The 14302-nt window shown below is 49.2% G+C and overlaps 1 long non-coding RNA gene across 1 annotated transcript in view, besides 2 other annotated features; it reads right to left on the bottom strand.

Moving 5' to 3' along the window:
* The window catches only part of LOC107984933 (uncharacterized), an 82158-nt gene that overhangs the window by 32754 nt on the left and 35102 nt on the right, over positions 1-14302 (bottom strand). The gene's annotated exons all lie outside the window — the stretch shown is intronic.
* Positions 3291-3922: an enhancer, noted in NCBI's record as "H3K4me1 hESC enhancer chr1:29814938-29815569 (GRCh37/hg19 assembly coordinates)". NCBI's record gives its function as "activates a minimal SCP1, AML or CMV promoter by ChIP-STARR-seq in naive and primed H9 embryonic stem cells {active_cell/tissue: H9 hESC(naive and primed)}" and the evidence as "EXISTENCE:reporter gene assay evidence [ECO:0000049][PMID:30033119]".
* Positions 3923-4555: an enhancer, noted in NCBI's record as "H3K4me1 hESC enhancer chr1:29814305-29814937 (GRCh37/hg19 assembly coordinates)". NCBI's record gives its function as "activates a minimal SCP1, AML or CMV promoter by ChIP-STARR-seq in naive H9 embryonic stem cells {active_cell/tissue: H9 hESC(naive)}" and the evidence as "EXISTENCE:reporter gene assay evidence [ECO:0000049][PMID:30033119]".

The following is a 14302-nucleotide window of genomic DNA, read 5'->3' as shown; positions in this document are numbered from 1 at the left end:
CCTCATCATCAGCCTGCCTCAGCCTCCCAAAGTGCTGGGATTACAGGGGTGAGCAATATTAAAAAAAAAAAAATGAATGAAATAAGGATACATGCAGTACATCAGCCAGATGAAGACAGCTGAAGACTCGAGGACTACAGCTTCAAGCAGGCGTATGAGGTGCACATTGGCTCCAGTCCAGCAGGACCCCTGCAGGGGTCTTACCTGGCTCCTCCTTTCTGCGGACTCTGACCCTGGTCTGACCTTAACCTGACTCTGATCATCAACCTAATTCACTTTTGACCTTGATCCTGCTCCAATCAACAATTCACTCAGCATTACATTAAGTGAAAGAAGCCAGTCACAAAGGCCATGTATTGTATGATCCTTTTCATATGAACGTCCAGGATAAGCAAATCCACAGAAATAGAAAGTAGACTCATGGTTGCCAGGGTCTAGGGGAGCTGGGGGAGGGAAAGGGGAGTGACTGCTAAAGAGAACTGGATTTCTTTCCAGTGTGATAAAGCTGTTCTGGGAATTAGATAGTGGTGACAGTTGCACAACCTTGTGAATATTCTAAAAACCACTGAATAGGCCGGGCACGGTGGCTCACACCTGTAATCCCAGCACTTTGGGAGGCAGAATTGGGTGGATCACCTGAGGTCAGGAGGTCGAGACCAGCCTGGCCAACATGGTGAAACCCCGTCTCCACTAAAAATACAAAAATTAGTGGCACATGGTAGTGCATGCCTGTAATCCCAGCTGCTCGGGAGCCTGAGGCAGGAGAATCCCTTGAACCTGGGAGGCAGGTGTTGCAGTGAGCCGAGATTGTACCATTGCACTCCAGCCTGGGTGACAAAGTGAGACTCCGTCTCAAAAAAATAAAATAAAATACATAAAAATAAAAACCACTGAATTGTACACGTTAACATGGTGACTTTTACAGTGTGTGAAGTATATCTCAATTTTTTAAAATCCCAACTGAGGAATATTTATGCAAAGTATCTGACCAGTAATCCTCAAAACTGTCAAGTTCAATAAAATAAGGAAAGTCTGAGAAACTGACACAGCCAAGAGGAGACAAGACGATTCAGTGTAAATGTGATATCTTCCATGGGATTTTAGAACAGAAAAGAAATATTAGGCTACAACTAAGGAAATCTGAATCAAGTGCAGACTTTAGTTAACAATAAAGTATCCATAAGGTATCCCTACTGGTTCATTATTTGTGACAAATTTACCACACTTGGGTAAGAGGATAATAGAGGAAACCGGGTTTGGGGGAATATGGGGACTGACTCTGTACTATCTTTGCAACTTTTCTATAAATATAAACCTATCATAAATAAACAGTGTACTTATTTTAAAAGAAATCAAATTGTCATGTCAGGCAAACAGTGGCAGGCTGGTGTGAGGAGCTTGCTGGGAATTTCACAAGCTATTTGAATTCAGTCCCCACTGGCTCCAAAGCACAGTCTGGAAAACCCCCAGATCCCCCAGCCCCATCCATCCTGAGCTCTTGACCCTGGCGGGTGCCAGTGAATTCCATCCAAGTGGTTTGCCAAATAAGTGCCGGTTTCTTTCATCAACGCAAATACTCCTTTATCAGGGGAAACACGGGAGCCTGGGGGAGAACGGGGTCCCAGTGTCAGGCGGGGCTTGGCATGAATCCTGAGGCCACCTCTTTCTTGCTGTGTGATCAGAGAAAGGCCATACTCCCAGGCTCAGGGCACCCGGGGCCAAGGGCAGCAGTGTCACTTGTCCTACACTGCCAGCTGCGTTTGCAGAGCCTCTTGTATTGTCCTTGGACTTAGCCAGGAAGCTGCCTGGCTTTGGCTCCATCCTCCTGACATTATCCTGACCAGGTGGCACTATTTGCTCATCCTCAGACACTGGGAGCTTACCTTGTGCCACTTTCTGATCCCCCAAGGGCACCAGCCCTTCCTGGAGCCCTCTCCCACCTCCTCCTTCCCCTAGAGGGCTCTCTGCTGAGCTCTCTGCACAGCTTCCATGAAGAGCATGACAAACTCTTTGTCTCCCAATCCCCTCTTTCTGAACTCCTAAGAGTTCTTTGAGCAGGAGAAAATTTTCCGTCTGGAAATAGAAGCACACGTTTTGTGCGCTGGCTGCAGCTGTCTCCCCAGAATCATCTCCCAGTGCCACCTTCCAAGTCCTGGGCCAAATTCTCAAACTAAAGGAGATTAAAGACAGATCATGCTCTACTCTGCTCAGCTCCAGCTTTCCTCTGTCCGGAATGACAGAGAATATTATTAGTCTTTCCAACTTTACGGTCAATTCTAGTAATAATAATCCCAACACAACAGCTACTATCTGTGGGCATTCACCACGTGTCAACAGTGGACTGGGTACTTTTCATGCATCATCTCGTAAATGCTCTCAGTAATCACGATACCTCTATTGGATAGTAATAACTTTATCCTCACTTAGCATTTAGGAAAACTGAGGCTTATAAAGGGCTAGTAACCTTCCAAGGACACACAGCCAGTAAGTGGCAGAACTGGGATTCGAACTCAAACAGGTCTTTTTTTTTTTTTCTTTTTCTTAGAGATGGGTCTCTCTATGTTGCCTAGGCTGGAGTGCAGTGGGCATTCACAGGCACAATCCTAGCTCACTGTAGCCTCCAGCTCCTGGGCTCAAGTGATCCTCCCATCTCAGCCTCCCAAGTAGCTGGAACTACAGGCATGTGCCACCACGCCCAGCCCAAACTTGTCTTCATCCAGAGCGCTTGCTCTTAAGCACCATGTCATACTCTTTCCCTAAAGATGTTTTGTGAAACAAACAAAAAATGATCTCCATGATGAAAGAAATTTGGGGAACGTCGTCCTTTTCATTCTCTTCATGGATGTTCACCATAGGCATTAGTGTGTTGGAAGGCCTGAGATGTTCTGCAGCGATCAGACCTGTTTAATCTTGTTTAAACCAAAATTTTTCAAATTCATTCTTAAAAATGAACATTTGTTTTTCTTGTTTACTTGTAAATGAACCACTTTGTCATCTTTTTCAGCTAGTGTTCTCTGGAACACGCTTTGGGAAACACTGCATTGCTAAGTCACAACTTTCCCAGCCTCTGCTGGAGCTTCTGGCCATGATAGAGCAGTGGCGGACTTCCCTCCCACCAGGAGCAACCGGAAAACAAGATAGAATATATGGAAAGACTGTTTTCAGATATTGGGCAACCAGAGACTCAGGACTGCGATCCTTGAGAAGAAAAACAGAACAAGGCGAGTCACATGACTGCCCACATGCATGTCCCAAGGCAGGTGTGGCTGTTCTTTCAGTCCCAGGACCTGATCTCCAGGACCAGAGTGGGACGTCCTTGAGAATGCTGAGCAGAACAGCCGGGGAGAGTGTGGTCCTGGGGGCTGGGGAGAGGGTGGTTTCCCCAGGTGTGGGGGCCACTCTGCACCTCTTGACTGACTCCGCCAGTGGTTACGGCCCCACACGGGCTGACAGTGGAACTGCCTGTGCAGGAGAAAGGCTCCCATTCAGGTGCCTCGCGTTAACCTGCAGAGGGGTTGGCAGCAGCTGCTTATTTCTGATTTGCTTGTCTTTGAATGGGGGTAATTGCTGGGAGCTGCCAGTGTTCCAGGTTGTTCCCTGGAAGAGGGGGAAGAAGAAATGGCTGTCATGGGCTCTGCGGAGTGCTGCCTTCTGCAGGTAGTGCAGTGAAGCCTCGCGGGGTGGAGTGAGGGGAAAATGGAATCATAGCCCAGCAGGGCCGCAAGGGCCCTCGGAGGCCACCTGATCTGACCGGCTCATTCTACAGGTGGAACCAAGATTCGGAGGGAGGGGACATGCCCAGGGCCACACAGGGTGGGCCTGGCTAGGCTGCTTGGCTCCAGCCAACAACCCAGCTGTCCTTGGCATTAGCTGTGCCTCCCCACCCCCACAGCGCCTCAGTCTCTCGGGCTCCCCAAGCTGGGGCATGTGTGTCAGGAACCCCTTTGTCTTTCTCTGACTGCGGGAGACCAGCGCAGCGGTGGGGTCACTGAGGCCAGCAGCCTCCTGAGGGACTCCCTGAAGCATCCCTGTGGCCAGAAGGGCTCCCCGCACCACATGGGGCAGCTGCACCCTGCAGTGCGTGTGGCAGACCTTCTGCAGCACATCAACCAGATGAAGACGGCCGAGGGTTACGGCTTCAAGCAGGAGTACGAGGTGCACGCTGGCCCCGGGCCAGCAGGACCCCTGCACAAGCCTCGTCTGGCTCCTCCTTTCTGTGGACGCTGACCCTGGTCTGACCTTAACCTGACTCTGATCATCAACCTAATTCATTTTTTACCTTGACCCTGACCCTCAATCTAATCCCACACTGACCACAACTCTGACCCTGAATCTCATTCCAGTCTCCATTAAGAATATAAACCCTTGTTCTAATCCTTAACTGACCCTGACCTTACCTTCTGGATTTTGACCTTGAACCTTATCCTAACATTTATCTGAATTTTGACCGTTATCATCACCTGATCCTCCTTCTGTACTTTCTCTGAATTTTGACCTTCTTCCATCAGTTTCCTCTACCCACATCTTGGTTTTGAACAATGGTCCCTACCCCAGCCTTCACTGTGGCTAAGCCCCCAGCCTGCCCATTTTATTCCTGCCAAGAAGTTGACCATCACTTTTCTTCCTTGCAGAGCTACATTGGAGCCTGGATACTTGACAAAGAAACAAGCTCAGGAACCTATGCCCGCCTGTGAGTCTTGGGGAAGGGCCTGGGGCCCAGTGGAGTGGGTCGGAGGCACTCAGAAGGAGCACAGCAGGGCGTGTGTGTGTGTGTGCAGGCATCTGTGTTTGTGCGTTTGTGTCATGCATGTGTGTGCCTGTGTGAGGGTCACATTTGCATGTATACATGCATATGTACATGTGTGTATCATGTGAGTGTGCGTATGTATGTGTCTGTGAGAGGGTGTGTGCATGGTGCATGTGTGCATGTGTGTGGAGGAGGCATGTGTTCTCTGTGTATGTGTTGTGTGTGTATATGTGTGCATTAGGGGAATTCTCAGTGCTCTGAAAGGTGCTATGGGCACGCTTGTGTGCCACACAGGAAGACCCTATCTGAGATCACAGCTGGAGGGATCAAGTTATGGTAATAGGAAGGATTTGAATTAGTCTGTTCTCACACTGCTATAAAGATACTGCCCAAGACTAGGTAATTTATAAAGGAAAGAAGTTTAACTGACTCACAGTTCCACATGGCTGGGAAGGCCTCAGGGAATTTACAGTCATGACAGAAAGGGAAGCAAGGACCTTCTAAACATGGTGGCAGGAGAGAGAAGCATGAGCGAAGGAGGAACTTGTCAAACACTTACAAAACCATAAGCTCTCTTGAGAACTCACTATCATGAGAACAGCATGAGGGAAACCGCCCCCATGATCCAATCACCTCCCACCAAGTTCCTCCCTCAATACCTGGGGATTATGGGGATTACAATTCAAGATGAGGTTTGGAAGGAGACACAAAGCCTAACCATATCAGACTTCCAGACAGTAAAGAAGGTGGCACCACAAAGCAGTTAAAAGTATAGGCTTTGAAGTCAGATATACCATGGACCACTCCCTGGTTTGCCTTGGGAGGCCTTCAGCAATTCACACGACTTCCCCAAGCCTCAGTTTTCATACCTATAAAATAAACATAGTGGCATCTTTCCTCACAATAACCGTATACACATAGACATATCATTATCCCATTGTATAGGGAAAACTGGGGCTGAGAGATACAGTAACACACCTAAGTTTACACAGTTGAGTCAGGAGCTCTGTCCTGAGCTCTGTCCAGGCTATGCAACTTTGCACAGGGAGAAGGCATTGAACTCCACCCAGTTGTGAAGGGGTCATCAGACAAGATAATCTCTAGGGTCCCAGAGACTGTGATTTGGGGAGAGTGAGGAGTGGTGGGGGGTCAGGAATCAGGCGGGTGGGGTAGAGTTGGACAGAGTGAGTTAATGCCTATGTTGGTTGCTCTTTTGCAGTGTCACCTTGACCAGGGCCTCTCTTTCTAGCCCTTGATTTCTCCATCCATAAAACAAAGCTAAGAGCCCCAGCCAGGCCTCCCTCATGAGGCTTTTAGAGGCTCACCAGCCTCATTTCTCGTGGGCACTGAACTTGGTCACCTGGCACTGGACACGGAGGAGCATTGCCCTGCTGTCCTGGAACCGTGACAAGAGCCACAGCATGGATATCCTGCCACCCAACCACTGCCTGCCCTTCCTCATCTCCACCAACAGGGACCCCAGTAACTGCATCTGTGAGGACTCAGGGACAAAGCAAACCTAGGGACGATCCAACCCCATCTAGACTGGGGGAGCAGGGCTGAAACACTAGAGGGGTCCCCTGTGTGCCCCTGTGCATCTCCCTTGGAACCAGGCCTGCGGGGAGATTCCTCTCCCCTTGAAGACTCCTCCACTCAGGACATCAAAGCCAGTGCTCCCTCCTCAGTGTGTCCATCTGTACCCTGGGGGCCTGGAGAGAAGGCTTGCTCAAGGTCCTTCCAGTCCTAAAGGTCTGAATTTGTGAGGGTCTCAATCAGGCTCCCTGGCCCTGATGGGAATGGGCCCAACAGGTGGAGAAGCTCTGGAACAGCCCTGCCTTCTGCTGCAGTCCTTGAGGCCCCTGATGCCTGACCCCAGCCAGGAGGGTCCTGTTGGCTCAGAAGCCAGGAGGCCTTGAGTCTCAGATGGCCCTGAACCTGTCGTTGAGTCTTTTGGGGATGGTCAAGTCTGCAAAGGGCCCCAATGGGCACCCAGGCCTGAGTTTTGGAGTCTGGCTGGGCCTGGCCTTGAGAAGCTACCAATCGTAAGCCTTCAGAAAGTCCTGGATTGGGGAGAGCCCCTTGTTTCTCCACACTGCCTCTTGCAGGATTACAGAGGATAGGTCAAAGTTTGGTCAGGGCCCAAGTCAGGGTCAAGGGCAGAAGAAGCCAGACACGGATCAAGGTGGTGGGAGCCTGTGCCACCCCCTAGGTCAGGAGGGCAGGGTTTAGAAGAGCTCAGGGGAGGAGGGGGGACATGACACAGGGTAGGGCATGGCAGGTCACCAGGGGAGCTTGGTGGCTGGAGCTCTAATGGGAGAAGGTCGGGTGCCAGCTTGCCTGGCAGGATGAGGTTGGGAGCAGAGAGCAGGGTCAGGGCCTGTCACAGCCTGGAGCTTGGGTTGGGATGTCAGATCCTCTTGGTCATGGAATTGAACGTGGAAGGAACCCAAGAGATTCATTCATTAATTTAAGTATATTTATTGGGCCCCTGCCATTTGCTAGGTCCTGGGGATGCTGAAGTGGACAAGATGTTCAGAAACCTCTGCTTTTCCAGAGCTTACATGGGAAAGGCAATAAACAGATAAGAATGGGGTGGACTATCGGGAGCTGGGCAGCACCATGAAGAGCCAGTGGGCAAGAGAAGTGGTTCGATCGTTAGCCTTCAGAAAGTCCTAGATGGGGGAAGGTCTCCTACCTGCCAGCTGCGAGACCCTGGGCATCAGATGCCCTCTCCAGGCCTCAATTTGTTCCTCTGTAAACCGAGGACCATCCTCTTTGGATGAGATGGGATAGTGATTAAGTGCCTTACATGGTGCCAGGCATGCTGAAACAGCTCAGTTTACAAACACAGGGCAGAGACAGGGGCAGAGAAGACACAGCCCTGCTAGGGATGACTGTCCTGCTGCCCCAGCCCAGCCTATTCCCAGCCCCAGCCTCCTCATGGGGTAGAGAGGGAGGAGGAGCAGGCTAACTGGTAGGAACCCAGGTCACTCCTGGCTCTGTCACAAACATGCTGTGTGACTTTGGGCAAGAGACTTCCTATTTCTGAGTGTCAATTTCTTTCTATGACAGCTGGCTCTATGAGGCACTCATTCTATTTGCACACTGGTAGACGCTCTGTCCCTCAGTTTCTCCACTGATTCTTCAGAAGATACCACCTATGCTAATGACCTCAGGAGCCAACATCCTTTCATCTGAATTTAAAGTTTATGAGCCAAGAGCCTGGGCAACATGGTGAAACCCCATCTCTACAAAAAAATTAGCTGGGCGTGGTGGCTCGCACCTATAGTCCCAGCTACTTGGGGGATCACTTGAAACTGGGAGGCTGAGGCTGCAGTGAGCCGAGATCATGCCACTGCACTCCAGCCTGGGTGACAAAGTGAGACCCTGTCTCAAAAAAATAAAAGTTGATGAAACAGTACGACCTTCTAGAGATTGATGTCATCTCTTCCTACCAGCCAATGATTCTGATGTGCACCTCTGAACAGGGCTCTGGGCATTCTGGGAAAGTGTTTAGAGAAGGAGCAGCAGCGACAGTGCCCCCAAGAAGCCCCAGCCCACCAGGGGAAGGAGAGACCACAGCATCATTAGAGGCTACTCCATGGGGAGGCTTCGAAGGTGGCTTAATACTTAACAGGATACTAATAGGTACTTTGTGAATTAATTAAACAATGTGATCTCACCCATGCTCTTCTCAGGCTGGAGACCCTGCCTTTAGGCAAGGTTTAGCTTATTCATGACTCTCTTGAGGTCTGATTCTCAGATGGCACAAGGATTTGGGCCTCCCAGTTGAACAGGACTCTCACCTACCTTTTTCTAGACTCCATAGCACTATTTACATGGTCTGAAAAACACCAGGATGGGCATGGAAGTGTTTGAGCTTTGGAGTGAGGATGAGGTGTAAATTCTCAGCTCTGCCACTTACTAGCTCTCTATTCCTTAGCTTTTCTGAGTTTCAGTTTTCTCTTGTGTAAAATGGTATCAATAATATTCACCGTGCAAATTTGCAGGGAGAGAGATTGTGAGCAGGATGCACTTGGGAACGGGTGGCTGTTCCTATCATTGTTGTTGCTGTTGTTATTAAGCTAGCCAGGTTTGGAGCCCCTCCATCCTACAGGAAGAGCCTTGGCTGGGAATGGGATGGCTGGGAATGGGGAGAGCAACCCAGGGACATGTGATGTGAGAGACACATGCAGCTCCGTGGGCTCACACTGAGCTCCCTGTCAGCCCCTCTCAAGGCCTGGCTCCCTCCTCTGTACCTGAACTGTTGATTTATTTTGCACTGCATGTTTAATTCAGGGTTGCATTTTAAATCCCATCGTGCGAGTCTCAGTCTGGAACTCTGGCCTCTGGGGATTTTCTATCTTGCCCTGGTCCAAAACACTTGTTTTTCTTCCAAGAGCCTGTCATCTGCAAACCCAAGGAGCCTGCCTCCCCGTGGAGGAGTGAAGCTTGCTGATAGTTGTCAAAAGATGCTCAGTTGGGAGCAGCAGGTGCAAACACCCTGAGGTCGGAATGAGCACGATATGCTCAAGGACAGGGGAGAGGCCAGCGTGTCTGGAGATGAGGGTAGAAGATGAGATGTGAGGAGTTAGTGGGAGAAGATCATTTCAGGTCTACAGGCCATGGCAGAGTTTGAATTTTCTTTTTAGTGTTGACAGAATTCATTGCAGGGTTTTGAGCAGGAGAGTGACATAATCTGATCTGTGTTGTAAAAAGACTTCTGTGGCTGCTGGGTGGAAAAGAGGCTGCTGGTGAAAATGGAAGCAAGAAGACCAGGGAGGAAGGATCGCAGAAATCCAGGAGCACCAGGGTGGGGGCCAAGGAGGGCGGGAGAAGTGGTTGCTCACACGTGGAGTTATTGAAGGATGTAGTACTTGTTCTAAAAACATAGAGGCTCAAGTGGACACAAGAGCTGATCTTCAACTTTGGAAGGGCTGTCAAGTGGACCAGAAGTTGGGCCCATTCTGCAGTCCACAAAAGGTCAGATCTAAGACTAAGGGGTGAGGTAGTAACCTCCTCACCACCGGAGATGCACTGCAGAGGTTAACTTACAGGGTTGTAAGGTGTAGTGGACAGAGTTGAGCTTTTAGAATCAGGCAAATCTAAATTCATAGCCTTCTTTTTCAGCCTATTATATGTGCTGCCTTGGGCCACTTTCTGGACCTCAGTTTCCTCATCTGTAAATTAGAACCAATACCTATCACATTGGACTGTTCAATAGAGTATGTAAAGTATCCAACACTGTACCTGGCACATAAAAGGTGCTCAAAAAGTGGCAGTGATGATGGAGATGATGATGGTGATGATGATGATGATGATGGCAATTATGGTGATGGTGAAAAGAAGGAAGATGAGAATGGCGCTGGTGATGATGATGAAGACTGATGAGGATGAAGACAAGAGTGATGAGGATGTTAACAATGGCGAAATTATTTTTATGATTGACAGTGGTTGTTGTGGAAGGAATCCTAGCACCAAACAGAATATAACTAGAAGATCACTAAGCCTCTGTTCAAATGCTAAGATTTAATGAGAAAATGCTCTGTGAGCTGGCTCACTTTATCTGTTGACATCATCATCCCCTCTGTTCACTCTGAGAGTGCTATAGACAGTGGATCAGAGTCTCTTGTACCACCAGACTTAGCCTCTGGACAGGGAAGCTCTGACCCAGCTGGTGATTGACACAGTGCATCCCCTGTTCTGTGTAGCCATGGGAGCCAAGGAGGCCATGGCCAGCTTGGGGGAGGTTTTATTTTTTCCACCACCATTTCATAGTCTCCCATATGCCATACCTGCTCATCCAGTTATAGTCAGAGATTCATAGGTCAGAAAGAAACTTAGACATCTTTTTATCCAACTAACTCCTCCCATTTAACACATGGGAAACCAAGGCCTAGAAGCAGAGACCACTTGCTCAAGATCACAGGCAAAGTCCAGGTGTCCTGACTTATCATTTCACTCTCTTTCCACTTCAACAAAGTGCATCTACTTGTGCCAGTTATCAATGTACTGCCCCTTAGCTCCAAGCTGAGCTTTCAATGCCTGATCTGTAATAGTGGACTGAATTCCTTTTAGCACCTCTCCTGTGCAGTGAACACATTAAGCTTCTTCAGTAGAGGGCTCTGAATGAACATTGCAGGAGGAAGGGGCTTCTCCTGCTGGTTCCAGTGCTTCACAGTCAGTCAACAGTGCGCATCTGAGGACATCCACTGATGCTCTGCCCCAGCCATGCTCTGGGAACACGCGGTCCCTTGCAACCTTGCAGCCTTGCTCTAGCCAGGTGATAACCTTCCTGTGGCCCTCTTGACATGGACACCCATGCCCCACCCACACCAGCACTCAGATTCCATCTGCGTGCCCACCCACATGCCCAGGAACAGGCTACAGCTTGCTACACTAGAGGATTGTTTTCTGCTTGTCCAGTGACTGCAGACCAGCACTGGCCCAGGCAAACCACTGAATGTCTCTGCCGTCCAGTGGGCTATAACTCCACCTCTTCAACAAGGTCTGAACCATCCTTGGCAAAGGAACCCCTTTCCAAGGCTGTCCTTCCTTGGGTGCTATATAAAGTTTCCTTTATCTTATAGTTACTGTTTTATCATAGTTTAATAAAGGTTTATAGTACATTTGCCCCCATTTAAATCACTGTGTGGTTCGTGTCTCATGATTAGACCCAAGCTAATACACTATTGGCATCTGTGTTCTAGTAATTAATCCACAGCAACTATCTTGGCTTGATTGTCCTGACAATCAAGCCCACCCCACACACACCATGCTATGTGAGACTGATCCACATTTATAGGTACACAGCCTAATTACATAGGTCAGCTCCATCTAACTAACACTTATTTTATAGAGATGTTTTATTTAGAAGTCAGTTAACCTTGTACCTGTCCTACTCTCCCTTGCACTAAGAGAAGTTGCTATTTTTGTACCTATTTTATTTATTTATTTATTTATTTATTTATTTATTTATTTATTTATTTTTGAGACAGAGTGAGACTCTGTCTCCCAGGCTGGAGTGCAATGGCACAATCTCGGCTCACTGCAACCTCTGCCTCCCAGGTTCAAGTGATTCTCCTGCCTCAGCCTCCCGAGTAGCTGGGACTACAGGTGCGTGCCCCCAGGCCTGGCTAATTTTTTGTATTTTTAGTAGAGACAGGGTTTCACTGTGTTAGCCAGGATTGTCTCGATCTCCTGACCTCATGATCCACCCTCCTCGGCCTCCCAAAGTGCTGGGATTACAGGCGTGAGCCACCGCGCCCGGCCTGTACCAATTTTATTAAAGTCCCTGTGGATTATCTGGGGTTTTGCTTTTTCTCAGCCATCCTTCAGAATAGCCTAATGTATCTCTTAGGAAATGCATTCATCTGCTAGAAACAGGAATCCAGACAATAAGGTCTTAAGCCAGTTAAAGGTTCACTCTTCCCTCATATGAGTTAAGTCTGGATATAGGAAGCCCAGGACTGCTGTGATAGCTACACACACAAAGCTGTCAAATTCCCAGATTCCTTCTTTGTTTCTGCTCCACCATCCTCAGTGGTGCATGACTTTATCCTAAAGGTTACCTCTTGGTTACATGATGGCTACTGGAGTTTCAGCCCACTAGAGCTGCATTCCAGGCAGGAAAAAGGGAGGGAAAGGAAAGGAAAAGGGGACTTCTGTCAATTGAATAAATTCCCATCAATGAATTTTCCCGGAAGCTGCAACCACCATCTCCACTCACATTTCATTGTCCATCCCCATCTGCAAGGAAAGCTTTGGACACAAAGCCATCCCCAACAGCACTGGCCCCTTATTACTAAAGAAGGGGTGACTAGATTCTGTGCAGACCACCGACAGGCTCTCCTACAACCAGCAACTAGGAGACTTAAATGTGGGCAGAGAGAGCCTGACATTGGCGCTCCACCCACAGAACTCCCTCCAATAAGTCCCCTAAGGGTGGGGGTTCCCTTTGTACTTAATCTGCTTTAAAAATAGTTAAACATACTTTAATATTCTGCTTCTTGCAGAATTTTCTTAAAACATAAAAAAAGAGAAGAGAAAATCCAAATCCCTCTTCATCTCATCAAGCAGAGATTAATAATTGCTAGTATTTTTTGCTTACTTTCTTCTGGGATTTCTTTTTCTTGGTAGATTTAGAATGTATATCCAGGCCTATATGTTGCTTTTTTCTCTCGCTCTTATTTTATCAGTATTTTCTCAGTGTGAATTACTTTCTGACTGTGTCCTTTCTAATGGCTGCACGACTTTCCACCTTATGGTTGTTCTGTAACTGAGGTAGCTAATCCTCAGGTTGTTAGGCATTTTGATGGCTCCCATGTAAGTTTGACCGTTATAAATTATACTGGGATGGCCGGCCCTACCCATAGATTTTGGTCTCCATCTCTGATTATTCCTTGGGATAGATCTGTGGTCTTCTCAGGTTAGCAGGTATGGGTATTTTTAAAGCTTTGCCTATATTTTGCCCAAGTGGCCCTTCCAGGTGGCTGGCCTGGATTCCACCGGCGGTGGGGTCTAAGAGCCTCTTCAAACGGGTTTCTGAGTCCTCCCTCCCACTTTTTCAGCGTCTTCTCTAACTCAGGCCTCCGCCTCCTTCCCCTGGCTCCCTTGGGGAAAACAATGAAAAAGTTTATATTCTGAAATATCTAATCATGTATTTATCTCTAACTACTTGAAAAAGTCAACATAATTACTCTAGTCCCATTAAGTTTAATTTGCAGCAAATTATGCATTTAGCGTGAAGTTGGGGGTGCGTTGCTGGATGAAGTGAGTAGGGTTTGGCTATTTAAAACTGGCGCTGGCGACAGCAGCGCAGGCTGGTTAAGCTGCGGCAGGTCCTTGCAGAGGAGGGGCTCTTCCCAGGAGGGCGCTCCAGCCGAAGCCCCTGTGCGTTCACCTGCTCCATGACCACTTCCCTCGGCTCTCTCCCCTCCTCCACGCCTCCTGGGGCCGCTCTCCAGGGTCCTGGGACGAGACCAGCCCCGGGCAGGGCAGCGCGGGAAGCCAGGGGTCCCACACCCAGGAGCGACCCTCACCGCGAGGGACGGGCTTTGGCGGATAAATGTCCGGCTCCCCTTGATGGGCAGAGTCAGCACCCCCCGACACGGTCCCTGAGATGGCCCTGGGACCGAGCCGCCGCCCCCGCCTCCTTGTGATTCAGCCTCTTTCCGCCCTGCTATCCCCTCCCCACTGTGCCTCCTGGGATCGCCTCCCCAGTCAGCCGCCTGAGCCTTACAGGGACCCCACCCAGACAGCAGGAATCAGCCGCGGCTGGAGTACAGGGAAGGGGGGAAGGGGTCGAGAGACGCTGGGAGGGGGCCGGCGGACTGCGATGGACACAGCGGAGGGGGAGGGGAGAGGTCAGCGCTGAGGCCCAGCTGCCTGCTCTGGCATCTAGTGAATCGTGGTTCCTTCCCTCATTTCCTTACACACTGTGTTGTTTTTCATCGGTAAGGGTTCTTGGTAATCCTTCTCACAGCTGGGTGGTGGTGGTTGTTGTTGTTGTTGTTGTTGTTTTGAAACAAGGTCTGGCTCTGTCGCCCAGGCTGG

Source organism: Homo sapiens, chromosome 1, assembly GCF_000001405.40.
Source record: "Homo sapiens chromosome 1, GRCh38.p14 Primary Assembly".
NCBI classification, from domain to species: domain Eukaryota; kingdom Metazoa; phylum Chordata; class Mammalia; order Primates; family Hominidae; genus Homo; species Homo sapiens.
The sequence above is the reverse complement of the archived record's forward strand: the minus strand, read 5'-3'. Positions and strand labels throughout refer to the sequence as shown.